Source organism: Homo sapiens, chromosome 6, assembly GCF_000001405.40.
Source record: "Homo sapiens chromosome 6, GRCh38.p14 Primary Assembly".
Lineage (NCBI taxonomy): Eukaryota > Metazoa > Chordata > Mammalia > Primates > Hominidae > Homo > Homo sapiens.
This window is the reverse complement of record NC_000006.12, coordinates 29992868-30020177: the sequence shown is the minus strand read 5'-3', so window position 1 is coordinate 30020177 and position 27310 is coordinate 29992868. Positions and strand designations below refer to the sequence as shown.

General features: G+C 48.2%; 6 pseudogenes across 3 annotated transcripts in view; 4 read left to right on the top strand and 2 right to left on the bottom strand.

The window, feature by feature from the left end:
* Positions 1 to 19167, top strand: part of POLR1HASP (POLR1H antisense, pseudogene) — a 60179-nt pseudogene extending 41012 nt beyond the window's left edge. Inside the window, exon 6 of one of the 2 annotated variants that reach the window (NR_026751.2) lies at positions 17446 to 19167. The product of NR_026751.2 is annotated as a POLR1H antisense, pseudogene, transcript variant 1 (transcript). Of the gene's footprint in view, positions 1 to 6620; positions 8080 to 17445 lie in introns of those variants that run through there. The other variant, NR_145416.1, reaches the window with a different exon arrangement.
* On the bottom strand, positions 10222 to 14207 carry HLA-J (major histocompatibility complex, class I, J (pseudogene); annotated as a pseudogene). The gene is made up of 7 exons (NR_024240.1): positions 14039 to 14207; positions 13509 to 13738; positions 13109 to 13378; positions 11716 to 11989; positions 11001 to 11140; positions 10811 to 10858; positions 10222 to 10643 (listed from the first exon to the last, which is right to left on the bottom strand). The product of NR_024240.1 is annotated as a major histocompatibility complex, class I, J (pseudogene) (transcript).
* Positions 14350 to 15333, top strand: HCG4P3 (HLA complex group 4 pseudogene 3; annotated as a pseudogene).
* LOC353007 (HLA complex group 26 (non-protein coding) pseudogene) lies at positions 23763 to 24221 on the top strand (annotated as a pseudogene).
* On the top strand, positions 24864 to 25036 carry MCCD1P2 (mitochondrial coiled-coil domain 1 pseudogene 2; annotated as a pseudogene).
* Positions 26045 to 26969, bottom strand: DDX39BP2 (DEAD-box helicase 39B pseudogene 2; annotated as a pseudogene).

Here is a 27310-nt window from a genome sequence, read left to right as displayed (position 1 = left end):
CACAATGGACTCTTCTCATGGCTACTGTTCCAGTAGTGTGGATGCCCCCAAATGCTGCATATTTACTAGGACAGCCAGGCAGAGACAGCTGTGTACTATGATACAACAGTAGTCCCTCTTAGAGGAAGTGACCTTGTTAGAAGTGGGAGTTTCTGAAGCTCTTCAGCTGTTACTGGCCTGCTCTTCCATAGCGTTACTTCAGACCTGCTGGCCCAGCTATCCACTCCGCTAACAGGTCTGTCTCTGCTAACAGGTCTAGCTCTGTCTCCTCAGCACATGTTCTAGGCTCTGACTGCAAGTGCTGACTTGGGCTCCCAGCCCCACACAGACCCTCTGTTCCATGAAAGGGCCATCTATGCAAAGTGCCCCCCAAATGCCAAAGGAGCCAATAAACCAAGGAACAAGACAGACAAATCTAGTTGTCAGTAAAGAGTGTTTTATTGGGGAACTTACAGACAGAAGCGTGGTCTTGGATGGCAGGAAGACAGGTAGGTTTCTGCACTTATTACCCCCACACCCAGGGCTTATATACCACAGGGGAAGAGTATACATGCTCTGTGCAAGACAAAGGCTACTACTGTCCAGAACAGGTAAGAATGCTAATGTGTCATAGCCTAGAATTTGTATAACATCAAGGTTGACATGTTCTTACAATAGGGATGGTAAATAAAGTGGGAATCAGGAGTCAGTCCTGGGACTGGGGCTAATCAGAAGTCAGCATAGAGAATTAGCATCCAAGAGGGAGTCACTTTTCTCTCCACATCCCAGCCCTCTAATCCAGCTCTTACAATCTCATGGACTCACATTTCCCCCATAGTCCCTGAGCCTTCAGAGAGGGCTGTGGGTGACATTTTGATGGTGTGAGTGACACATTTTATCAATTTGTTTTCTACTTGTTAAGCAGGGGCCACAGCAACAACACAAACAACAGGCGATGATATGTATGCCAGGTGTAAGACACAGAATTAAAAATGCCCTTTACCATGTTTATTCAGGAACCAAACCAAGAGGTATAGAGCAGAACAACAATAGGAACAGAAGACTATGGGTGGAATTAAAAATGTTTAGTAGGTATTTGGTGGGGCAGTTCTTCCCCATTAAACAGAATTACTGGTAGCTCCATCTCTGTTGATTAGGAACATAGGATTGTGGGCTGGGAGTACACACCAAACATGTTGCCTGAGGGGCAAAGGCGCTGGTATTATGTGTAAGGTTACAGGGGCAGCAAAGGACCATGTCAAATGGCCAGCCAGGGTGCTTCTTAAAAGGGACTGTGTTCCAGTTTATTGGTATGTGGAGTGTTTTGGCCCAGACTTCAGCAGGATCAATGGAGACCACTTTAGTTGGTAGGGAATTCCTTGCTGTCTGGAAAGAAATGCTCTATCCAACATAGGGGAAGTTGCTAGTCCAACCCCCATTCAAGTGTCTCCTCCCTGGCTCAAGATCTTGAGGAGTTCTAAATAACCTTTGCCATTGGCCTTTTATCTGCTCAGGTCAGAGATGCATCTGGTTGGACTTTCTTTACTATTATGGTTAATGGATCCATCTCTGTGGTGGTCCTGAGTCATTGGTGTGGTGCCAGCACCATATTTGTCTCAACTAAATTAAGGTTTCTAATGGCTTGAGGCAAAATCTTTGTCTAACTATGAAAGATATTGGATTTTGAGAGTGCTCAAAACTGTGCCTTCAAAATACCATTTTTCCTTTCAATCAACCCTGTTGCTTGGGGGAGTATACAGTAAGTGAAATACCCAGTCTATGTCCCTTTCATGCATCCAGTCTTGGACACCGTGTCTGGTGAAATGCATGCCTCGATTGCTATCAATATGTGGAGGGTATCCTTACATGACACTGAGTTGCTCCAAGCCCCTGATGGTGGCTGTTTGGTTTGCTCTTACAAGGGAAAGCTTGCAACAATCCCATGGCAGTGTATACACATGTTAGTGCATACTTTCGTCTCAAGATTACTGGCAAGGGTCTGATGTAGTCTATCTACCAGTCTGTCACAGGGGTGGCTGTCTTATGTATATGTCCAGGTGTATGTGGGATGTGGCAGAGGTACAGACGGGAACAAATTAAGCAGTTTGCTACCGCCACCACTAAATCTGCATAGCAGAGAGCCAATCCTGCTCCCTTTGCTATTTGGCAGCCCATTCATGCACTGAAATCCCCACTGTGATATGTACCTAATCAACTAGCTCAGTATTCTAATTTTTGCTAGGATGTCTGCCTCCATGTTTCTGGGAGGTGAATCTGACCAGTGTGCTGAAGCAATTAGGTCCACAGTGGGTTCCTGTAGACTTTTCCAAATGTCTTTCCACATATCAGCTCCCCATAAGGATTTTTAAATTATATACCAATCATCTCAGGCCCTTTGGGCAAGCCAAATTGTAAGACCCTTAAGTACTGCCAGACTGTCTGTACAGAGAACTATAGGTGGTGGCTCACGGGTACAAACCAACCATGTAGCTTGGAGTTCTGCCCATTGACTGCTCTGTTGCATTCCCATCTCAAACCAGATACTGTCTGTGGTTGTGCAGCTACTACTGTCCATACACAGGGTTACCTTGGCTCAATGCATCTAAGTACCAAGCATTATCAGGAATGAGGGCCATGCCTTCATGTACCATTGGAGACATCTCCTGTGAGGGCTCCACAATAGGGGCAGCACTGGACTCATAATGTACTGGCCCTAAGATAGCATGCAGTTCATCTCTTAAGGGATGCATGGAGAAGGCACTATGTTGTTGCATGTATGCATGGCACTTTTGTAAAGTGGAAACTTGGGCAATAGCTGATACAGGCCTGGCAAACACTCCTACCCAGTCCTTGATAGGAAACCTGTTCTCCCTGGTACCAGGAAAGCAGCAGTTATGGATTCAACTTGTGGCAAGACCTTCTATATCCCCAGGACCTGTTATTCAACTGGGAAATAGCAGGTTTCAGTACCCTTCCATTAATTGTGACTAAAATTCTAAAGGAACTGCTTCCCTATGCTGGACTTTATATTTTCATCATCCAAAATTATAGTTTAGTTTTACCTTTAAAAATATGTTTTTTGTTCTCATTTGTTCCATAGGTTTCTCCTTGAAATTTATATTGTATGGTAAGGTTTCCTATTGTTTGCATTTTGTGGATTGCACGCCAAGGTGTGGTTTAATGTATTTCTATTACCTGTATTTTCTGTAAATTGGTAGTTTGGTATAGAGGTTTGTGTACATTCAGGGTTTTTTTTTTTCTGTAAGTATTGATGGTTCTGTAAAAGGAAAATAAAATCTTGGGGCCCCAAAATTACTAAGCTAAAGGGAAAAGTCAAGCTGGGAACTGCTTAGGGTAAACCTGCCTCCCATCTGTTCAGAGTCGCCCCTCTGCTCACTGAGATAAACACATGTCTGATTCCCTCATTTGGAAAGGCTAATCGGAAACTCAAAAGAATGCAACCATTTGTCTCTCATCTATCTGTGACCTGGAAGCCCCCTCCTTGCTTCGAGTTGTCCCGCCTTTCCAGACGGAATCAATCTTTAGCTTACATATGTTGATCACTGTCTCATGTCCCCTTAAAATGTATAAAACCAAGTTGTGCTCTGACCACCAAAGTTGTGCTGAGAAGTGACACCAAAGAACATGGTGGCATAAGAACTCCAAGGACCCCTCCCCTCCACAGCGGCAATGTGCTTGTTGAAACACCAGTATAAAAAAACTCGATGAGAGCTGTGATTGGATTTAGTGTTGATATATTTTTTGTAAATTGTGGTAAAACATGCATACTATATAATTTACCTTCTAACCATTTTTTCAGTGTACAATTTGGTGGCAGTAAGCACATTTACAATGTTGTGTAACCACCGCCAATATCCATTTCCAGAACATTTTCATCATCCCAAACAGAAACTGTACCCATTAAACCATAACTGCCCATTCTCCCTACCCCCAGCCCCTGGTAATCTCTATTCTATTTTCTGTTTCTATGAATTTGCTTATTCTAGCTACTTTATATAAGTAAAATATCATATTTGTTTTTATTTCTGGCTTATTTCACTTATAGTGTTTTCAAGGCTCATCCAATTAGAATTTCATTCACTTTTAAGGCTGAATAATATTCCATGCTTATGTGCACCGTGGGTTGTTTATCCAGTCATCCTCTGATGGACACTCGGTTGCTTCCACCTTTTGGATATTGGGTATAGTGCTGCTATGGGCCTGAGTGTACACATATCTGGGTGAGTTCCTGCTTTCAGTGCTTTTGGGTATGCCCAAAAGTGGAATTGTTGGCTCATATAGTAATTCTATTTTTACTTTCTTGAGGAATCACTATTCTGTTTTCCATGGTGGCTGCACCACTGTATACTCTCACCAGCAGTGTACAAGTGTTCCAGTTTCTCCATATCTTCACCAACACTTGGCCTAGTGAAGTTTACCATATTTTTATGTCCTTATTGGCATTCCTTTTTTTTTTTTTTTTGTGAAACAGAGTCTTGCTCTGTTGCCAGGCTGGAGTGCAGTGGCACAATCTCGGCTCGCTGTAACCTCCACTTCCCAGGTTCAAGTGATTCTCCTACCTCAGCCTCCTGAGTAGCTGGGACTACAGGTACCTGCCACCATGCCCAACTAATATTTGTATTTTTTTGGTACAGACGGGGTTTCACCATGTTGGCCGGGATGGTCTTGATCTCTTGACCTCGTGATCCGCCCACCTCGGCCTCCCAAAGTACTGGGATTACAGGCATGAGCCACCATGCCTGACCAGCATTCCTTATTTTTATGTCCTTATTGTATATCTTCTTTGGAGAATTGTCTATTCATGTCTTTTACTTATTTTTGAATGAGATTGTTTTGCTATTGTTGAATTGTAGTTCTTTACATATTCTGGATATTAATTCTTTATCAGATATGTGATTGGCAAATATTTCCTCCTGGTCTGTGCATTTTCTTTTGATTCTCTTAATAGTGTCCTTTGATGCAAAAAAGTTTTTAAATTTTGATGCATTCTAATTTGTCATTTTTCTTATATTACTTGTACTATTGGTCACCAGCCAAGAAACCACTACCAATTCTAATGTCCATAAGATTTTCCTCAGTATTTTCTTGAGGGTTTTACAGGTTCAATTCTTAAGATTAGTTCTTTGAGTCATTCTGACTTAATTTTTGAAAAGGGTGTAATGGAAGGACATGAATTTTTTCCAGCATCATTCTTTTGCATGTTGATATCCAGGTTTCCAGCACCATTTGTTGATGCACCATCTGTTGCAGTGGGGCTGACACATTTGTAAGATGCAGTGAGCATTAATACATGGGAGCACCATGCATTTATTTACCTGTCTTTACTTCACAGTTGTTTTGAGAAGGCTTTCACTGACAGACTCAACAGAAATGAATATATATGACTTCTTATAAAATCATATTCAAGTAAAATTATAAATTTTAAAATGTTAAGACTGGAGCAAGACTGGAACATCACTAGACAAGCTGAAACATAGGCTGAAATGAAGGGTTATGTTTACCTTGCTACAAATTCTGTTGGCCCACAATCTCTTATGCTTATTGCTTAAGAGAGCCACAGAGTGGGGTGATAGCTCACATAACCAGTCCCTGGTTTTCTGCTTCAGAAAGAAGTTTAAATATTCTGCTTAGACAGAGTAAGGAAATTAACTGAAAGATGTCTAATGTGAAGTTGGCATCTACAAAGTGAAGGAGTGAGTAGTAAGTGTAAACATCAGGAATCCCAGGAGATTCTATCTTTTTGCACGGAAATGGCCTCACTATGCACTGCTGAAGGGAGAAGGTCCCTTCAGGGGACCTTCATGATGAAGAAGAACACAATATGATATAGGAATTTTCTGCTGCAGCCCTAAACTGAATTGTCCTTCTCTCTAACTACAGGTCTCACAAAGTTTTATAGCTTCAATGATTTCACCTGGGCCAAGATTTTGGTTTTTTTTGATGTTATTTGTTTGAACTGCTGCCTGGGGCTTAGAAAAGTGACTTGGATATTTTGTCAAAATGGATTTTCTTTGATGGAATGTGAAATCCGTAAACACTCTGCTTTCCTGCTGTATCCCCAGAGCAGGTTGAGTACCTTGCACTTCTTCTCAGCACTTCGCTAGAAGTGGTAGAAGATTTGGAGTTAGGGCCTCCCTCAATCCCTACCCTTTCTTTAATTCAGAGGATCACAAACTGTTGGGAGAAGAGTGGTATCTTGGGCCTCTAGCTGATCTGATGAATATTAATATCCAATGTCCTGTAGTGAAGTCATGTGTGCGTGTAACATCACTTCTTCACGCAGTGTCATAGGAAAGTGGGTTCCTGGACCCCAGGTTAAGAGCCTAAGCACTAAAGGCACAGAGCTAGAGCTCTAGGAGGGGAGGGATGGCTGGGGTGGAACCTCGTCTTGTCATTTAGTCCTGGGGCCTTTTCACTCCTTACATGGTGGGTGGTGGGCGTCTGGCAGGTGCCGATGTTGATGGAGTCAAGGGAGGGAACTAGCCGGGACAGGGAAAAACAGGGTTGGAGAGATAATTAAGGTGGACGTTATTTTTTCTGAGCGTAAGTCGTGGCTGGAAATCTGGAGAGCCTGAAAGAGTATCCCCCTACCCAAACCTGTTTTTTCCTTTTCCCTCAAGCCTCATTTGGCCACAGGCCCAGTGTCAACACCAGGGGGCGCCACAGACCATGAAGGCACCGTGCAGCTGGGATTGTTTGTGGTCGGCTACTGGGTCCCTGACTTAACCAGGGGAGCCAAGACCCTGTAGCCAAGTGGCCTGGATTCAACCTGCAGCTCAGGTCTTACTGACACTTCTCCCCCTGGTGCCTCAGTTTCTTAATCTGTGAAATGGTGAGGACATTACAGCATTTACCTCTGGGGCGGGTTTCTCAACAGCAGCACTATTAACAATTTGGGACAGAGAATCTTGTGGAGTGGTCTGTCCTGTGCATTGTGGGAGGTTTGCCAGCAACACCCCACTCACCCCCTCCCACCAATCCCCATGTGACAACCGAAAATGTCCCAGGATTTTTAGGTCTCCCTTGGGTCTAGAAGCTGCACTTAGGCATTTTCCCACCTGACACTTGAGTTCATCTCTGCTTTGGTCCACATAAGGCCACTTTAAAAAAATGTTGTTTCTTTAAAGATTCTAACCATCTTTTAAACAAATCCATTTTCTTCCTCTATTTCTGCATTCAGTTAATCCTTCCAAACCCTTTGTTTAGTATATCTTGAAATGTATCAATTCCTGTTCTAGTAATTAACATATGTGACTTGCATGATATCTGCTATGACCCTTAGTAGAGCTCTGATTCCTTTAGCACAGGGAATGTGTTCTCGATTCTGCTCTGGATGATGTAAATCAATTTATTTTACTTTACTTGTCTGGGATGTTGCTCCTCATCTGTAAGATGTAAATGTGGATATGGCTTGGATTACTAAGTGGTTTTATTTCTTAATTCACCTGACATTTGTTGTGTGCCTGCTGCAAGTCAAATACATGGCATGGTATTGTTTCCTTGTTCACACCACAGCAAATGAGAAAATGAGACATTATAGCCAGGTGTGGCGGCACAGGCTTGTGGTCCTAGCTACTCGGAAGGCTGAGGCAGGAGAATTGCTCCAGCCCAGGAGTTTGAGGTTACAGTAAGGTATGATATCACCATTGCATTTCAACCTGGGCAACAGACCCTGTCTCTGAAAAAAGGGAAAAAGACCTTGTGAGCTGTCTACGTGTACTCTATGTCTCAGGAGACTCATATCCTGTAATTTTTCTAAATGGCGTCTCCATGTGGTCTTTCATGAATGTTTGTCTGGTATTCTCTATCCTTTTACTTTCAACTTTTCTTTACCTTCTACTGAAATTATGTCTTTTGTAAACAGCCCATGATTATTTATTTAGTTATTTATTTTTACCCCCCTGCACTATTTGTCTTGTAATTGGAGTGTCTGAGTCCATTATGTTTAATGTAATTATTGACCTCATTGGGTTTAAGTCTGTCCATTGTCATTTGCTGCCTTCTAATATTATCTCTTTCTTGCTCAACTATTTTTCTTATGTTACCTTCTTTAGATGAATAAAAACCTTTGCATTATTGTAGTCTTCTAAGTGTCCTAATTACACATTCTCTTATTATTTCTTTAATTATCTGAGAAAGCATAATGATCTGTGACTTATTATAACCAATAGCAGACCACAACTTCCCTGACTTTCACCTACCTGTGCCCACAGCCCAGGGGAGAATCAGTGCTCTGGCTCTGAGACACAGGGGTGGTGGGAGTAGGAGAGTGATTGGATGATGAATCTGTAGCTGCAGAGGCATCTGGGCCCCTCACCTGCATTCCTCATAGATGTCTCCTCCATTGAATGCCTGCGATGCCCTCTCCTCTGTGTACTCCTGCCAGAGTCTCCCTATCTCCACTGACAGCAGCTCCACCCTTCTGCTCACTCAGTCCAATACTGTGGGTGTCCTTGATTCTTCTTCTCACATCCATTAGCAAGTGCTGTGAGTCCATCTTCAAATTCATCCAGAATCCCTTCACTTCTCACTATTTCCCCTGCTCACACCCTAGTCAAGGTAAGCAACGTGTCCATCCTAGAATACTGTACTCCTTTCCCACCATTTTCCCCACTGCATCACTGGTTCCCCACCTCTCAATTCTGTTCTCAGCACAGCAGCCAGAAAGAAGCTTTCAAAGGATGAGCCCTACCATGTCCCACTTTTCAAAACTGTCCTCCCCATGTCATTCAGAGCAAAGGTCAACACCCTTCCCACACCCTTCAGGGCTACCTGCTCTAGCCACACCTTTGACCTCACTTCAGTTTCTCTGTGTCCAGCCCTTCTGGCCTCTTCCTCCTTCCAGGAACACAGACAATTTCCTGCCCTAGTGCATCTGCACTGAAGGTTCCCCTGCCTGAAAAGAACTTTCCCAGACATCCTTGTAGACAACTCCTCACATCCCTCAAATCTTTACTCCAAGGTCACATTTGCAACAAGGCCCATGCTGACCACCCAGCACAACAGCCACCTTCCTGTCCCCACAGCCCACCCTCTGGATCACCTGCCACACAGCACTTGCCACCTTCTAACTCAAGCATTTTCTGTTCCTACTCTGCTTATACTATATCTATCATCTGCCTACAGAGGTGTCCAATTTTTTGGCTTCCCTGGGCCAGTTGGGAAGAATAAGCATTGTCTTGAGCCACACATAAAATACACTAATGACAGCTGATGAGCAGAAAGAATAGAAAAAAGAAAAACATGTGCGTGCATAATTTTCATGATATTTGCTACCACAGATAAGCAAAAAAACTTCTTACATTCAAAGCTGTCCCGGGCCACACGCAGCCCGAGAGCTGCAGGTTGGACAAGCTTGCATCTAGAACGTATACACCACAAGGCCAGAAATTTTTCTGTTTTTACTTTAATGATGTTTTCTAAATGCAAAAACAGTCATATACCTAGCAGACAACAAATGTCAGTTGAATGAATGATCACTGTAGAGCACCTCTGTATTCTAAAGGCAATATCTTTATTAACGTAGCTAAAGAACAACATCATCTCACACCAACATCAGTGCTGCCAGTGCTTTTCTCACCAGGGCTGCTTGTGTGTCCTTCCCACCTCCTCCCACACCAACCCTCCTGCACACTGCAGCGCACAGCCATATTTTTCTGTTCAGGAAAGATAATCCTAGCCTTGTGGGTCCAATTTTCCAACCCCATATAAATCTAAATCAGACTCTGCTTTATAAATGCATGAGTTTGGATTGGAGCCAGCACTGGGATTACTACAACTCAGGCAGGAAGAAGAGTAGGAAAGCAGAAGAGGAGTTCCAACAGAAAGTTACCTACGATGAGAAACTATGGGACCCCTCCTCTCTGCAAATTTCAGAATCTGCTTCCTTTAAGAAGGCTGGGGAAAAAGATGGAAAATACAATCCAGGAAAGAGACCTGGAAGGAGGGCAAAAGATACAGGGGACTGAAAATTTGTCTCTTCATACCGGAAGGACTTCGATGTGTAGGGACCACCCTAGGTGACATCCAAGTCCCTGTGATCACAGGTCCTGGTGGGACAAGGTTCTACTGAAGGGCCAAGGACAGTGGAGCAGCAAAGATGACCCAGGTGAGCTGTGACCACATAAAGCCCATGGTGGCCTGAGCACACACTGGGCACAGCCCCATCTACTCTCCTCCCCTGCAACAAATCAGCACAAGAAACACGTGGACTCTGGAAGGTTCTCATGTCTTCCATTTATTTTGTCTCTCAAATTTTAGGAATCTTCTCCTTTAATTAACCCATCAACCCGTCATGGAAATAATTTGAAAAAAGTAAATTTATACTCAGATTCTAATTTTAATAGGGAAGTAAGAAGTTACAGCTCAGTGCACCATGAAGTTGAGACAGAGATGGAGACATCCCAGCACCACTTCTCTGGAACAGGAAAGGTGATCGGGGAAGGAATGTAGGTCAGTGTGGGGAACAGGGTCATGGTGGACACGGGTGTGGGCTGGTCTCCCCACCACCTCACATTATGCCTATAGGGACACAGACACATTCAGATGCCTTTGCAGAAAGAGAAGTCAGGGTTCTTGAAGTCACAAAGGGAAGGCATGAACAAATCTTGCCTCTCAGTCCCACACAAGGCAGCTGTCTCACACTATAGAAAAAATATTCATGAACAAATTCATATCACTCACAGTGAGGGGTCACACCTTCAACAGCCCATCATGTGCTGAATACATCCAAGTCAAAGAAACCCCATAGCACAGCTATATCCACTGTTACCCCAACAACCCACACACATCAGCCTCCCCAGGGTCTCACCTTTACAAGCCGTGAGAGACACATCAGAGCCCTGGGCACTTTGGCTGCCTGGGGTAGAACAAAAACAGAACCTGGTCAGATCCCACAGGAGATGTGGCTAGAGGAGGAATTGTGGGGTGGGTGAGCTCCCCCATGGGCTCCCAACCACAATATCCCAAGGATCTCAGGGATCAGCCTCCTTCATACTTACTTGCAGCCTGAGAGTAGCTCCCTCCTTTTCTATCTGCGGGAAGAAAACGTCCTGTGAGAGGCCAGGAAGGTAGCAGGGCCATGAGGTCCTAGAGGAACCTCCTAGTCTTGGAACCTTGAGAAGTTTCCAGAAATGTGTGACTGCAAACCAAGGGCAGGATCAGGAAAAACAAGGAAAGCAGATGTGGGTCCTGGACCAACTGCCCTCCTAAGGTCTGTCCTCAGCAGGGACCTTCCCCTGACCTGTGATTACTGGGGTCAGATCCCCATCACTACAATCATCAAGGTGAGAAATCTGTCCTTCATTGTCACAGGTGCTTACAAAAGAGTAAGTGCTGGCACACAGGGCCCAGGCTGGGTAGGCCCATGAATGTGGATGGTGCTTCCCGGTAACCAGGCAGAACACATTTCTACCTGGAGCTTGAAACCCCCAGTGGGACAAGAAAACTCAAACCCGACTCCTCACCCCTTCCCCACCTGAGCTCTTCTTCCTCCACATCACAGCAGTGACCACAGCTCCAGTGACCACAGCTCCAAGGAGAACCAGGCCAGCAATGATACCCACAATGGGGATGGTGGGCTGGGGAGAGGGCTCTGGGAAAGGAGGGGAATGTGAGGGTTCTGACCTCCAGGACCCAGCCCCGACCCTGCTAAAGGTCTCCAGAGGGGCTCCTGCTTTCCCTAAGAGACATGGCCGCCCCCATCTCTCTCCTTACCCCATCTCAGGATGAGGGGCTTGGGCAGCCCCTTGTGCTGCACATGGCATGTGTATCTCTGTTCCTCTCCAGAAGGCACTACCACAACCGCCCACTTCTGGAAGGTTCCATCCCCTGTGGGCCTGGTCTCCACGAGCTCCATGTCCTGGGTCTGGTCCTCCCCATCCCGCTGCCAGGTCAATGTGATCTCCGCAGGGTAGAAGCCCAGAACCCAGGACCTCGTTATGCCTCATGTTCAGAGAGGGGGGTGGGTCACGTGTGTCTTGGGGGGGGTCTGAAAGGAAGAGTCGGAAAACTCAGGCACTTTGCATTCCTCATGGGACACCCCAGCAGCGCCCATGTGACCATCCTGATGAATAGGACACCTGGGGTGGGGAAGGGAGCACAGAGCCCAGACACCAGCCTGGACACAGGCGCCTGGGATAATCTCCTATTCCTTGGAAAGTTCTAGTCTCTGAGCAGGGTAGCAGGGACTTCTGGTCCTGATCTGAGTGGAGGCCAAGGGACTCAGAGGAGCTGGAGTCAGACTCCGACACATTGAGTGTGAGGCAGAGAACAAGGCCCGGGAGGAAAAGTCCTGGTGCCCAAGGTTGCTGTGGGGTGAAAGGGGACCGCGGATCAGTCTTCCAGGGATTGTCTTCCCCTCCACTCCCTCAGAGACTTCATCCCTTAATTGTCCCAGGAAGAGCAGGGTGGGCCCTCAGAGTCAATCTCTGATACAGGATCTGGAAACCCAGGAGGATTCCTCTCCGTCAGGACAGGAGGGAGGGCGATATTCTGGTGGTGGTTCCATTTTCTTCCCCTCCTTGTGCGAGGCCAGCCCGGGAGATCTACAGGAGATCGAGCAGGCTCCCCATGGCCCCTGGTACCCGCGCGCTGCAGCGTCTCCTTCCCGTTCTCCAGGTGTCTGCGGAGCCACTCCATGCAGGTGCCCTCCAGGTAGGCTCTCCTTTGCTCAGCCACATTGGCCGCCTCATACTTGCGCTGGGTAATCTGAGCCGCGGTATCCGCGGCGGTCCAGGAGCGCAGGTCCTCGTTCAGGGCGATGTAATCCTTGCCGTCGTAGGCATACTGCTCATACCCGCGGAGGAGACGCCCGTCGGGCCCCAGGTCGCAGCCAAACATTCCCTGGAGGATGTGATACCCTGGCCCAGTTCCCGCGGTCAGCCCCGCCCACCGAGCCCTGGCCCGGCCCCTAGCAACCTGCGGAGATTTTGGCCTCAACTGAAGATGAAACCAGGTAAAGGCGCCTGGGGCTCTCCCGGGTCGAGGATCTCTGCAGGTCCCGCAGCCTCGGGGTCGATCTTGGACCCGGAGACTCAGGGGACCAGGGCCGTCCGTGAGGCATGGAGCGGGGAGTAAGTGATCTGCGCCCCGGGCCGGGGTCACTCACCCGCCTCGCTCTGGTTGTAGTAGCGGAGCAGGGTCCGCAGGTTCACTCGGTCAGTCTGTGCCTGGGCCTTGGCGCCCAGTGTCTGTAGGTCCCAATACTCCGGCCCCTCCTGCTCCACCCACCGCGCCCGCGTCTTCATCCTCAGACTCACGGCGTCACTGTCGACCCGCACGAACTGCGTGTCGTCCACGTAGCCCACGGCAATGAAGCTGGGCTCCCCGCGGCCCGGCCAGGAAACGGCGGTGCTGAAATACCTCATGGAGTGGGAGCCTGGGGGCGAGGAGGGGCTGAGACCCGCCCGACCCTCCTCCCGGCGCGGCTCCCCGGGTCCTGCGCCCCAGCCAGGTGGACCTTTCGCTCCTCACGGCAGAGGCCGTTTCCCTCCTGACCCCGCACTCACCCGCCCAGGTCTCGGCCAGGGCCAGGGTCCCCGAGAGCAGCAGGAGGAGGGTTCGGGGCGCCATGACCCCATCGTCGGCGTCTGGGGAGACTCCGAGTCCCGGTGGGTGCGTGGGGACTTTAGAACCGGGGCCGCGCGACGCTGATTGGCTTCCCTAGAAACCCGACACTCAGTGGGAGTGAGAACTGGGTCCGCGTCGTGAGTGTCCAGGAAGAAGGACCCGTCGCAGGCTGGGAGAGGGAGAAGAGAAACTCTGCGGAGATGGGGAATCCCCAATGCTGCACCTCCCCAGCCCATGCACCGCCTTCGGGGCCTGAGACCCTGAGAGCCATGCCTGGGGCTCTGGGACTTCGCCCTGACCCCGCTCCTCCTGTGACAAACGCTCTGTCTCAATGTTCCCTGAGTCTTGGTCCAGGAGCTGTCCGAGAAACCAGGAAGAAACCCTCAGCTTGGGCCCCGTCCCTCTCCTTTCACTTTTCATCCGGGAATTCCTGTCCCTGAAATGGACTCCCTGCTTCCCCGCTGCTTACCTGTTCCCCTGGACTCTTCAAAAAGAAAACTCACCCCAGGGAGCTTGGTGCCAGAGAGGGAGCTCTCCCTGGGAATGGAGGTGTAGAGACAGAGGTTTTTTTCTTTTATTTCTTTTTTCTTTTTCTTTAAATCTGGAAAAGTTGTGCCTGGGTGCATGAGATAGTATAGAGACCAGTTTGCTTTTTGTGTATTAACTACAGTGGGTAGCAGAATCTTGGTAACCCCTGAATGATCAGGAATCTAATCGGTAAAAACATGTGACTTTGGCCCCTTGATATATAAAGTGTCTAAAAGCATTACAACAGGACTCACAAAGCTCCTAAGTTTCACTTTTGCAAACAAGGTATCTGTGACTCCCGCTTGTGGTGTTTTAAATTTACCTTTATTCCATAGCCCTGAGTTTCTGTGAGTCCAGGACATCTCCTCAATACAAAGTAGCCACTGTGTTCCTATGTGTTGCAACCAGGAGTCAGTACAGACTTCATTCACCTCAAAGTTGCAAGCGCTCGATGCAGTCACAATGTCCATCACCAGTGCTCATGCACTGCCTGTTTTTAGGAAGTATCCACATCTAAGTGGTGTGTATATTTCTTAGGAACACTTAGTATTTTTAAAACCTGATTAACATAAAAACAATTAGTTTTTAAGCAGACCCACTTAAGGTATTAAAGGCCAACTGCAAGTAACACCCTGCGAGGCTCTGTAGATGGATCTATTGAAATACCATTAAAAAAAGTGTTCAAACCTAAGAGTTGTGCTGCTTTTGAATTCTATCCCTCTACTCCTTTTCCTCACCTACTGCTTCTCCAGCCCTTCCCTCCGTCCCTCTTATCACTCAGCCCCTCCTCTCCCCTTAGTCCCCATCACACTGTCACTCCTGAATTGTGACACTGGCACTCTCCCGTTACCTGCTACGTGACTGTTCTCTCCACAGTGGTCCTGCTAATGTGAGTCAAAGTGTGTCATTTCTCCACCTAAAACACTCCAGTGGCTCCACCTTGGTCTTGTGAAGCTTCTAGAATGTCAGGCACGTGAGCATATGAGGGGATACCTGGTTCATTGTAGGGACTAAATTAATTTTTGTTGACTGAATGAATGAAATATGAGTATATTAAATTGCATCACAGATAATTATAAAATGCAAAACACTGAAAAAGTTCAGAAAGATTTTATTTTATGTAACTAGTGTATATATCAATTCATCAGTTCATTCCATTAGTCTGTTGAGCCTGTGTATGAATTTTATAAGACTGTGTAAAAAATTATCACAAACATTGGCTTTAAACAACACCCATTTATTGTATTTATTTATTTGTTTTTATTTATTGTATTCATTTATTTGTTTTTAGAGACAGAGTCTCTAAAAACTGTCATCCAGCGTGAAGTGCAGTCACATGATCATGGCTCACTGCAGCCTCAAACTCCTGGGCTCAAGGAATCCTCCTGCCTCAGTCTTCAGAGTAGACAGGACTGCAGACAAGTGCCACCACACCCAGCTAATTAAAAAAAAAAGTGTAGAGACGAGTGTCTCACTGTATTACCTGGGCTGGTCTCACACTCCTGGCTGCAAGTGATCCTCCTGTGTCAGCTCCTCAAATGTTAGGATTACAGGAGTGCACCACCACGCCTGGCCAAAAAACACCCATTTATCTGTTTATAGTACCTTAGTCAGAAATCTGGGCATGATGTAGATGGAATCTCTGTTCCAGGCTTCCCAAATCTGAGTCTTCATTTTGAATCCTCCTTTAGGCTTATACAGAGGTGGCAGAATGTGCTTTCTTGCAGTTTTAAGACTGAGGTCCCTGTTCCTTGCTGGCTGTCAATGTAGAGAACAGGGAGGGCTGTACTCAATTCCTGGTGCCCACCAGTGTTGTTTCCTACACAGCCCCTTCATTTTCAAAGCCCACAGTGGAGGAAACCCCTCATGCTGAATCCCTCTCACACTGTGAATCTCTATGCTCAGGAAGAACCCAGTCCTTTCAAGGACTCTCCTGATTAGGACAGTCCAAGCAGCATAAACCCAGCCTGAAGTCAACTAATTGAGCCCCTTTATTATGTCTGCTAAATTCCTTCACAGCAGCACCTACATTAGAGTTGGTTGAATAACTGGGGGAAGGTGAATGACCAGGAGGTGGTTGTTGGGGCCATCATAGAATCACTCTAGCAAGGGATGAATCTTCCTTTTGTGTTTAATTGGGACACAGTTGGAAATTGAAGTTCAAGTAAAGTGATCATTGTGAACGATAATAAAATACATCCTCTTCAGCCATGGAACTTCTCCTTTCCTTTTAAAACTAAGTTACATGTTTAATGTCTTATAATTAAGTTAGGCAGGGGTGGTGGCTCACGCCTGCCATCCTAGCACTATGGAAGGCAGAGGAAGGCAGACTTGTTGACTCCAGAAGTTCAAGATCAGCCTGGGCAACATGGTGAAACTCTCATCTCTACAAAAAAACTAGAAAATTAGCCTGGCATGGTGGTTCATGACTATAGTCCCAGCTACTCAGGAGGCTAAGGTCAGAGGATCCCTTGAGCCCAGGAGGTCGACACTGCAGTGCATGGTGATCATGCCACTGCACTCCAGCCTGGGTGACAGAGTGAGACCCTGTCTCAAAAATAATAATAATGATGATGATAAATTTAGAGCAAATGCAAATTAACATGTAATAATGCATCCTGTCTTGTGAAAATGTATTAGTTATTTACTATGCATAACAAATTATGTAAAACTTAGCAGCTCAGAACAACAAATATTCCTCATCTCCCACAGTTTCCAATGATCAGAAATCCAGGAGAGGTTTCCCTGAGTGCTTCTGGCTCAGGGCCTCTCACAAGGTTGCAGTCCAGTTGTCAGCCTAGGCCTGCATCATCTGAGGACTTCACTGAGCAAGGCCATAGAGGAGTCCTCGAGCTACAATTGGCCATCAGAGGAGTCCCCTGTCTCCTAGGAATGTCCTGCCTTAGTGTCACTGGTATGACCCATCAGTCGTTGGGAACAGCCCATGGGAAGAGGGCCTCAGCACCAATGTACTGAGGATGTCAGAACACAAGAGCAGGGCCTTGGGAGATTGCCCACAAGTGTGACTCAAACCTTCTGCCCTGACGGGTCTGGGCCCTTGGAAATCAAATCCTCTCAGGCTGAATTGCTGGATGATTCTGCTCACACTTACAATGGGGCAAGGGAAACCAGAAGGCTCCCAGGTGGATCTCTGGTTTCCACACACACTTCTACCCTTGTGTGAAACAGCCATGCCTTCTCCTGGGGATGAGGATCTATTTATTACCTGGGCCTGGAGAGGAGGAGAATCTTCTTCTCACCAAGTGGTATCTGGGCACACACTGTCCAAACTTCTCTGGTGACTAAAGTAATGTGTAGTTCAGTGGGCTGTCTTTTGTCTCCTTTTAGGGGTACACTCCTTTGGAAACCAGAACCTCGTATCCTGCACAGCCCAGTGTTGGGAGATAAAATATGCGAAATACCCCATTGAGTGAATCTAAGAGATTGGACATGGAGCCAAACCTGCTTCCGCCTTTTGATTTCTGGACACACATGTTCTTCCTATTGAGAACACAGAACTCTAGAGACGTCTCTGATTCAAACAATGCACTGTGTCCTGAAAGATGGCACCCACCCCTCAGAGTGCTTCCTCCAGGCTGGCACTGAGTTGTGCCTGTAGAAGACCTGTCCAGCCTTCCTTGTGGCTGGCAGCTCCTGGGTAGTGCAGATGGTGATAGGATTAGTGGAACCCACAGCCGTGGAAACACTGAAACTTTCCCTGCAAAGTGGGTCCTTCAGGCAGATAATGGGCTAGGAGCACTGCCTAGCCTGCAGACCAGGAATGTCAACAGCACCCAGAGAGTGGTGCTGGCTGTGTCTGAGAGCAGGACAGGAAAACCCACCCATAGAATCGGTACCTAACCCTGTGAAGATGAAACTCTGGCCCTTCCAGGTTGGAAGTAGCTAAATGTAGTCAACTTGTTACTTAGTGGGTAGTCATGTAAAGAAATAGTGCCCCACTAGGGCACATCATGGGCCTCAATTGCTGATGAGTTGGACATTCAGAGGTGGCAGCAGCTGGATCTGCCTTGGTGTGGGGAAGTCAGTGCTGCTGGCCCCTTACGGAGCCTCATGCCTGCCACTGTGGTTGCTCCATTCATGCACTCATCCTACCAGGCCTGGGCTGACCCATGGTGAAAGCTGGCTAACTGCCATTTGTCTGTTTGGTAGTTCAGTGCCACTTCAGACTTGGGTGTTTTCTGTGGGTGTCAGCAAGGGATTCAAGCTCAACCCAGGTGGACTGTTTTCACCTGATGATGAATGCTGTTGGGCCTGTACCATCTATGACTTTGTGGGTCACACAGGCACTTGGAACCCCGTAGTTGCTTGGTATCCCGTGGTCAAACATTCTATTGAATCAGGACAAGGAACACTAAAAGTTGCTTCTAACAGGGGGCATGTGTCTCTGCTGTGGATGACATGATCTTACTCCAGAATCCCAGGCCCTCCACTGTGACTCTCCCACTGGTGCTTGGTTCAGCTCCATCCTGTGTCTTTCCCCACCACTGGCACCACCAGCCCCAGGGGTCTGAGGGATGGTGGCTGCTTGTACCATGGCCTGGATCTGCTGCAGGGTCCTTTCCTGTGTAGGCCCCACTTGAAGCTGGCATCCTCCTATGTCACCTAGACTGTGGGCCAAAGCAAAATGTCTAGATGTGGAATGTGGTGTTGTTATAATTCAAAGAGGCTCACCAAGCAGTGTGCTTCCTTGCTTCTGGTGAGGATGCAAGATGCAACAGTTTTTCTTTTACCTTGGAGGGGACACACCTGCATTCCCCTAAACACTTGGCACTTGTTCACCCATAAAACTTCACTTCAGTGCCCACCTTTGAAGCTGTATAAGGTTTATCTTCACCTTGTGGGGTGCGTGTGTTTTGCAAAGGACTACAGTGCACTTTCTTCCTGCTGCTCATCTACTCCAGTCAACATGAAGTTGTCAATGAAATGTGCTGATTTAATATCCTAAAGGATATGCAGTATGTCCAGTACAGTCTTAAGCCTATACTATAGAGGGCACAGGTGTTACAATAGCCCTGAGGCAAACAATAAATAAATGTGTCGTTGATTCCACATGAATGTGAATCACTCCATATCCTCTTCCTTCCTTCCTTCCTTCCTTCCTTTCTTTTTTGACAAAGTCTTGCTCTTGTCCCCTAGGCTGGAGTGCAATGGCGTGATCTCGGCTCACTGCAACCTCTGCCTTCTGTGTTCAAGTGATTCTCCTGCCTTGGCCCCCCGAGTAGCTGGGATTACAGGCACCTGACATGATGCCTGGCTAATTTTTGTATTTTTAATAGAGACGGGGTTTTGCCATGTTGGCCAGGATGGTCTAGAACTCCTGACCTCAGGTAATCCACCGGCCTCGGCCTCCCAAAGCTGGGATTACAGGCATGAGCTACTGCGCCCAGCCCATATCCACTTTCTAATTGGAGTGGAAAGGAATGCACTCACCAAATCCACAGCGGCACACTGTGTGCCCGGGGCTTTATTAACCTGCTCTACCAGTGATAACCAGACAACATAAAAGCTGCAATTATAACTCCTACTTGGCCAGACCTGGAGTAATCTCATTCATTCTTTAGGCCTTACCAGTTTCCCTCAGGGACAGGTTGCTGGATTACATAGAGACAATAGACAGCCCCAACACCACCCCACATCCTTCAGCTCTCTAATGTTGGTGCGACCCCATAATACTTTCAGTGTCTTCCACAAGACCCACCCTGGGACACACTATGGTTTTTGATTTGGCCAGGATGAGGGCAGTGTCAGAGGTTTCCGTTTGGCTTTCAGCACAATGAGAGTCCTTACTCCACAGACTAGGGACCCAGTGTGGGGGTGACTCCACTTAGCAGTGCAGCAGTGTCAATCATGCACTCAGGGAATTGAAAGATATCCAGCGTTGGGTCTGTTGGCCCAGTGGTCCCATTGTGGGCCATAATTTGTCCAGGTTTACTCCCTGGCCTCCATAAGCCCCACTGTGATGGGAGACATGAGTGCTGTGGGCATCTGGGCATCAATGTCAGCTCACACCCAGTGTCAATAATCCCTCCAGTTCTGCGTGTTTCCTTTCCCCAGTGTACAACCACCCAAGTAAATGTCTATAGGTTCCTTTGCCAAATGATTGAGGGAATTGTGCCAGCATATACTTCCACAGGGTTGCAGGGTCTTCCTCCTAGGGATATGGACTCCTCCTCTGTCACTGAGATCTGAATCTGAATCTTGGCTGAGGTCTAGGCATTGAGGATGGGATCATGACTTTGTATTGGGTCAAACACCTTCACCCTCCTGCTCCTCAATTCTTTCATTCCTATCATAGATATCAAGCAGCGCCCTTGTTGGCTGCCTGTCCTAACCCTGGGACACCACCCTCTATTAACCTTCCCCACATTCCCTGCAACTTGAGTCCTCCTGGCTGCTACTCTGAAGTTGCCATAGTAACCATGCCCTCTGCTTTTTCAGGTCACTGCCACCACTTCTTCTCTGTCTCTTCAGGGCCACACTCTCCCCAGGGATATGGATAAATGCAACTCTGGGACCATCTTTATTACCATCACCTGCAGCCTGCAGAGGACAACACCCCTATACTTAGTGATGCAGGTCCCTTTCACCATCATGTTCCTGAGGCTCTGGTGGAAGGTTGTGTCCTCTGGGCCCTCTTGTGGAGCATGGCCCTGGTGGGCCTTCACCATGCCCACTTCCCTCAGCCTCGTTATTCCTTCCTTTACATGTTCCAGGGCAACTAAGACATGTCTACCTTGTTGAGAGTTGGGCATCTTTTTTTCCAATCTATATGGATTCACCCCAGCGGTGGGTTTAGCTCCACTTATCAAAGTCCTGGGGTGTTTGACAAACCCATGCCTTGAGAAAGTGCCTCCAAGCCAAAGGATTTTTATTCATCCAGCCTGAAATTCTGGTTTCTTGATCAAACGCCCTCAAATTCCAATCCCAGAAGTGCTCCTTGGGCTCCTGTGGGGAAATGGCGGCTAATTCCTGCAAAGCTGCTGAGTAGGATTCCCGCAGAATCACGGGGGTGAGGCTTTTGCAGCATCTTCCAGCGTAGGAAGTGGGAACCATTATTAGATAATGGTGAGCCTCCTCTGCATTCCCAGAGGGTCCTGGAGGGCACCCATCGGATATCCTGGTTCCAGTTTCCAGAATCTCAGGTTTCCCCACCAGGACCCTGACTTTCCTGTAACAGGCCTGCTTTGGCTGAGTGTCAGACATGTCTGGAGCACTGTGGCCCTCGTAATGATGTCTTCAGCTGCCATTCCACGCTATCTGCCCTTTCGCTACAGGAGATAAAGGCCTCTCCATGAGACACTGCAGAGGCTGTCACCTGTAGCCAGTGACAGCTGTTAACAACCCGCAGATTCTCATGATCCTTTTATAGGGTATCAACGCAGCCAAGCAGTAACCACCCAACTCCTCTGTCTTTGTAGGTTTCCCCCAACCTCATCATTATTGTGTAGGGCATTCTATCACCTCACCTGCCATAGCTTCCCCTAACCAGGGCATCTTCTCAGCTCAGCACTGAGGAGACCACAGCACCTCAGCTGCACCTTATGCCATGGACTTTCTGTGTCCCCCACCAACCCGGGTGGCATCCTCTTGGCCTGCCAGGCAGTGGGCAAGATTATTTCAAATTCCCATTTTTGCCTGTTTTCATGGGTCACCCTTCATACCGCTTGGGTTAGTTAGGGTCCCCTGAGGAGCAGAGCCCAATACGGTAGTAAATGTGCAAGGATTTATTCAGGGAAATACTTGTGAGAGAAATTCAGGAGAGAGACAGAAAACACTGGGAGAGCCATCAGACCACACTGCAACTCTGAGCCCCAGTGAAGGAGAGAGGGCAGGAAGTTCAGCTGGAAGCATCCTAGACCCTGTGCAGGCTAAGGGAAATTTAGTAAAGGAGGCAGGGAGCCCTGGGGCTGCAGTCAGCCTTCAGAGGAGAAATATTCCTGCCTTAGTTTCTGCCCTGCTTTCCTCAATCATTGGCTGGAAAAGATCAGGGGGCAGGTGTGGGATCAGAGCAAATGTGGCAATAGATTTCAAGCTTCAAGAGCTGGGGTCATCATCGATTCTGCTTCCTGTAGCTGAGGGGCTGGGATGTGCATTCTCATGACTGCCACAATGATCCAGTGGGGAGAGAGGGAAAAAGTTGATGATAAAGATAAAAAAAGATACTAGTTGATGAACTGACAACTTTAAGTAGATGAGAAGGGATGATGTTTGGGGCACCAGAAGAGGGACTGGCTCTGACTGGGAGCAGAATTGTTAACCCCCAGCAATCCCTCCCGTGGTAAAATGCCTGACATGTGGTGCAGCTGCAAATGCATGAGCAGACAGTGGTGGAATCGGGGAAGTTGTCTTCTAATGTGTTCAGTTTTCTCAGTGAGGTAGGAGGCAAGGTTGTCAGCTGAGGTAAGAATGGGGAAGAAGGGTTGGATGTGTGAGCACAGAGAGAAGGTGTCTAGGAGTCACCCAGGCCAAGAGGAGGCTGAGGGTGAACCACGTAGGGAGAGGGTGATTGCTGGCCACGTCAATGGTAGGGGCTCCCCATGAGGTTTGGAATCTTAAAGAGACCAGTCAGCATGTTGTGTGCTGCTGTCCAGCCTCCTGCAGCTCATGGGGCAGGTGCAGCATAGACAGAGGTGGAACCCACCAGCTGTGTAGTTTTGCCAGGTGAGTATGACAATGCAAGGGAGAGGCAAGGGAGGGATTGAAATTATTTACTGTAGAATTCAAAATGGGAGAAGAGGGAGGAGAGGACACCAAGGGTGAGTGACAGGGAGTAGATGGCAGGATCACTCAATTGGGAATCCCAGTGGGCTGGAAGGATTGTTGGAATTGATGTACCACAGGGTGGACTCCAAGCCTGGAATGCAGGCACATAGGAAATGAGTGGTTCATTGATATTACATCACAGCATATGATAAAATGATAGTGTCTGTGTCATCAGAGCCTGTGGCCACCTTGCAAGGGGATGAGTGGAAAGATGGCCAGAGAGTGGGAAGTGTGAGATTGAGAGTATGGAAGGGCTGGGGTTCTTGGCCGTGATGAGGCCTAGGGGATGACAAGGGCATGAGATTCAGGCAGAGAGAGGAGAAGGTCATGGAGGAGAGGAGTTACAGGATCTGAGAGTCCAGGGAGCAAGGGCATCTTCTCTGCTGTATAGGTGTCTGTTGCTGCCATAAAAATTACCACAAACCAAGTGGCTTTAAACAGCACCTAATTATCATGTCACAGTCATGTGGGTTGCAAGTCCACACAGTCTCATGGGGCTAAGATCAATGTACGGGAAGGCCTGCATTCCTTCCTGGAGACTGGGGAAGAATCCACTTCCAAGCTCATTCAAGTTCTTGTCTGAATTCACTTCCTTGCAGATAGAACAGAGATTTCCACTTCCTTGTTAAGAGCCACCCTTAGCTCCTAGAGTTTTCTCTCAGGTACTCACACATGGCGCCTAAGGCACATCCAGTCCTCCTGCTTGGAACATCTGACCTCCTCTCTCCAGCTTCTCCTCTGTTTCCTCTTCTGCAGAATCTGACTCCAGCCAGGGCAGTTTCTCTGCTTTTAATGGCTCATGTGATTTGATTGGGCCCACGCAGATAGTCCAGGATACTCTCCCTATTTTAAGGTCCTTAATCTTCATTACATGATTAATGTCCCTTTTGCCATGCAATGCAACCTATTCACATGTTCCAACGATTAAGCCTGGACATCTTTGGGGACCATTACTCAGCCCACCACATCTGCGTATGTTGAAGTCACCAAGAGTCAAGGAGACGCACTGCTGGAGAGGGTGACAGTGAACCAGGAGCTACAAGGGTCAGGATTAAGAGGAATGGCTTGGGGCACAAAGGGAATGGCTACAACATGGGGAATGGGGCCCTAATCTGCTGACAGCTTAGGGGTTTAGGGAGGAGGGAGGGAGAAAGGTGTGAGAACCACAGTGAGGAGCAAGGACCCCACCTCACCTCTGAACCCAGGGGTACAAGTCCCTGGGAAAACTCCCCCATGTGGGAGGACTTTGGAGGGGGTCGTGTCCTCAGGGAGACCAGGTTGCTGCTGTAGCTGTGAGGTGCAGGAACATCCTGAGAGAGGGTGTGGAGGTTTTGCTAATCTTTTTGCTGGGGGAGGGTCTTGCCTCAGTGTTGACTATTGGCTGATCAGGAGGGTGGTTGCTAAAGGCTGCTGTGGCAACTTCTTTAGATATGACAATAAAGTTTGTGGCATGGATTGTAAATCGGGAATCAGTACTTAAGTAAGGTCAATATGAGTTTTCAAGTCAGGTGGACCTGAATATGAACCCTCCAGGCCCTTCCACCAGCTAGCTATAGAGCCCTGGGCACATCTGGCCCACAGTTGGCCCTGACAGACACTTGCCCAGTGAGTGAGTGCTGAATGAGCCCATACGAGTCAGTTTCCTCATCTGCAAACTAGTGATGTAATTCCTGCCTTGCCAATTCAGAAGAATAAGTGAGAAGAAACCCAGTGCCAAGAAAAACAGACACAAGACCTGTGGAAGGCTGGGCACCAGTACTCTAAAGCAAGCTCTGCCTAAACTGGCAGGATCATTTTTCACATCAGAAACAGGAATTGGTCTGGATTCTGTCTGGGACCAGGCTGAGAGGGAGGTGGAGGCAGCAGAGCAGGGCAGGGGTGGGGCCTATGCAGCACCAGGTGCTGAAGCAAAGCCAAGGCCTGGAGGGAGCGAACTCTTGGTGTCTTCTAGGCAACTCAGACTGCTCCCTGCCTCAGCTACCATGGTCCTTTCTCTTCCAGGATCTCTTGGTGCTGTTGTCTTCACCTCCTCCTGCCCTCCTGGTCCCTAGCTCTCCAGGACTCACAAAGATGCTGCTCTGAAAACCCCAAGGCAAGCGTGGAAGAGTAGAACAGCTCCAGGGACAGTGGGAAGATGAGGTCACCCCAGCATGTTGACGGACACCAAGGGTGGGGGTGGAGGACGTGAAGGGGATCAGCACAGGAGTCAGGGGAAATCCTCTAAATCCCACCCTGCACCACCCTCACCCCTGCAGCTCCTTGCCTAGTTCCAGCTCTGAGCTCTCAGCTCCTTCCCAACCACACCCCAGCTCAGACCTCAGGGCTCTCTCTCCCCACCCCCTCCAGAGCAGCACAGTCCACAGAGCCCTTGAACAGAAATTCCCCCTCATCTAACAGTTAATTATTTCTTAGCGGAGAGGGACAGCCGGTCCTCTCTTTCCAGTGACCCCATATCCTTGTTCAAGGTATCCAGTTATACTCCCTGAGCCAGGGATCTCTATTTGCCCCCCAGAGGCCTATGCCCAAGACAAGGGGCTCCCTGGGCTTCTCAGTACAGGAGGCCTTAAGCTAATGGGCTAGAAAAAGGGAAAGGGAGGTAGAATTCCTCATTTACAGCCAGACCCTGCAATACAGGTTCCAAGGGCCTCAGCCCCCTGCCCTGGCTGATGCTCCCTCCACCACTCCCCCTCACCAGGGCCATGAGCCCCCAACACAGCTGAGCTGGCCCAAGCTGAGGAGTTGCTGGAGCTGGACCAGGCCCTGCTGGAAGGGCAGGAGGGGGTCAGGGGCCCAGGCCCTGGTGCTCAAGGTCTAGAATTTGAAGGAATAGATGAGGAGGCACCAAGAAAGCCTGGGTGGAGACACTCAAGCTTCCCACCAGTGCCCACAGCACCCTCCATCCCTGGAAATACTGCGCACCATCCACCAGGAGCCCCAGGATCAGAAACATCCCAGCCTCTCTCAGGCCAGATAAAGCAGAAGAGACCCCAACAAAGGGCCGGAAATAGGCAGGTAGTTGGGGAGCCAGGGCTCTGCAGTCCGTCCCCCTTTGACCTCACAGCAGGGCATCCAGGCCTTACAGGAATTTACCCTGGACCATGCCCTAAAATAATCTTACCCCAAATACAATAAAGGGAGAGAGCACCCACACATAATGCAGATGCACTTGTGTTTCATGTTTAGTTACATTAAAAATTCTGACGATCAGGAATGATGGTTCGGGAGTGGTGCTGATGCAGAAGAGGAAAGCCAGGGGGTGGTGGAGGCTGTCAGGTGTGGGGGCAGCAGGGTCTCCTTCACCCACACCCTGCTGTCCTCTCCTGAAGGGCAGATGGTCACATTCCAGAATGAGCGAGTCTCCTACTGCATCTGTTCAACTGAGAAGGAGACATGGCACAGTGAGAATAAGGCATGAAAGGACAAAGCAAGGCAGGAACACACAGCACACATGCAGATGCTGGTGTACTGCCTGGGTTCAGAGGATGGACTTGGGTGTGGTGGAAGAGATGTAATATGAGAAAAGGCACAGACCCCACATAGAGGGCAGCAAAACGTCCCAACACAGCATCAACGGCCAGGGGGCATGAAGCAGTCAATTGTTCATTATGCGTTAAGTGCCCATGACCTACATGATGGGATTGAAGACACAGTAAGGAATAGGGAGGAACTAAGGGTTTCATGAAATCAGCACTCACTGTGGAGGAGACGTCTGTCTCAGCAGGTAGCTCCTAACACTGAACTTAAAGTGATGCTGCCCATCACTGAGGATCCTGGCACAATTCTCATCCGACACAAGCCCTGTTCCAAACCAGCCTGCTCTAGTCACCTGGAAGGAGACAGAGGTTAGGACTAGAAGACCCCAAAGAGGGAAGACAGCCAGAGGGAGGAATGAAGAAGTGAAGTGTGAAAAGATACAGAAAATAAGTGGGTGGGAGAGTGGGTGTCCCTCTGTGTATGGAGCTTACCTGATTCACGTAGGTCTCAGAATCTTCAGGCATGTCACAGGTAAAGGCAGTGTTCACCTGCTCCATGTCCATGCCTGGGCAAAATAGGGTTGGTAGCCAAAGAATTGGCCTTTAAAAATCTTTTGGGGTCATTCTCAGACAAGTACAGAAGAGCAAAAACTGTTAGTCACCTGAGGTGCATTCTCCTTCTCAGGTTCAGAAATGAACTACATGTAAAAGGAACCAAAGGCTGTAATTCTCATGGCACCCAGAAAACTGGACTAGGGACCTGGAGAGTCATGTGCCTGTCATTGCTCCACCACTCACGAGCTGTGTGACTTCAGGAGAAGCTCTCTACTCATAGGGCCTCTGATTCATCTGTGAATCATGGACAAATGCCTCCATTCTAGCAACCTTACTGAAATGCAGGGAGGACCAAGTGATCAATGCGGAGGAAAAAAGCAAAGTGATGACATTTACTCCTA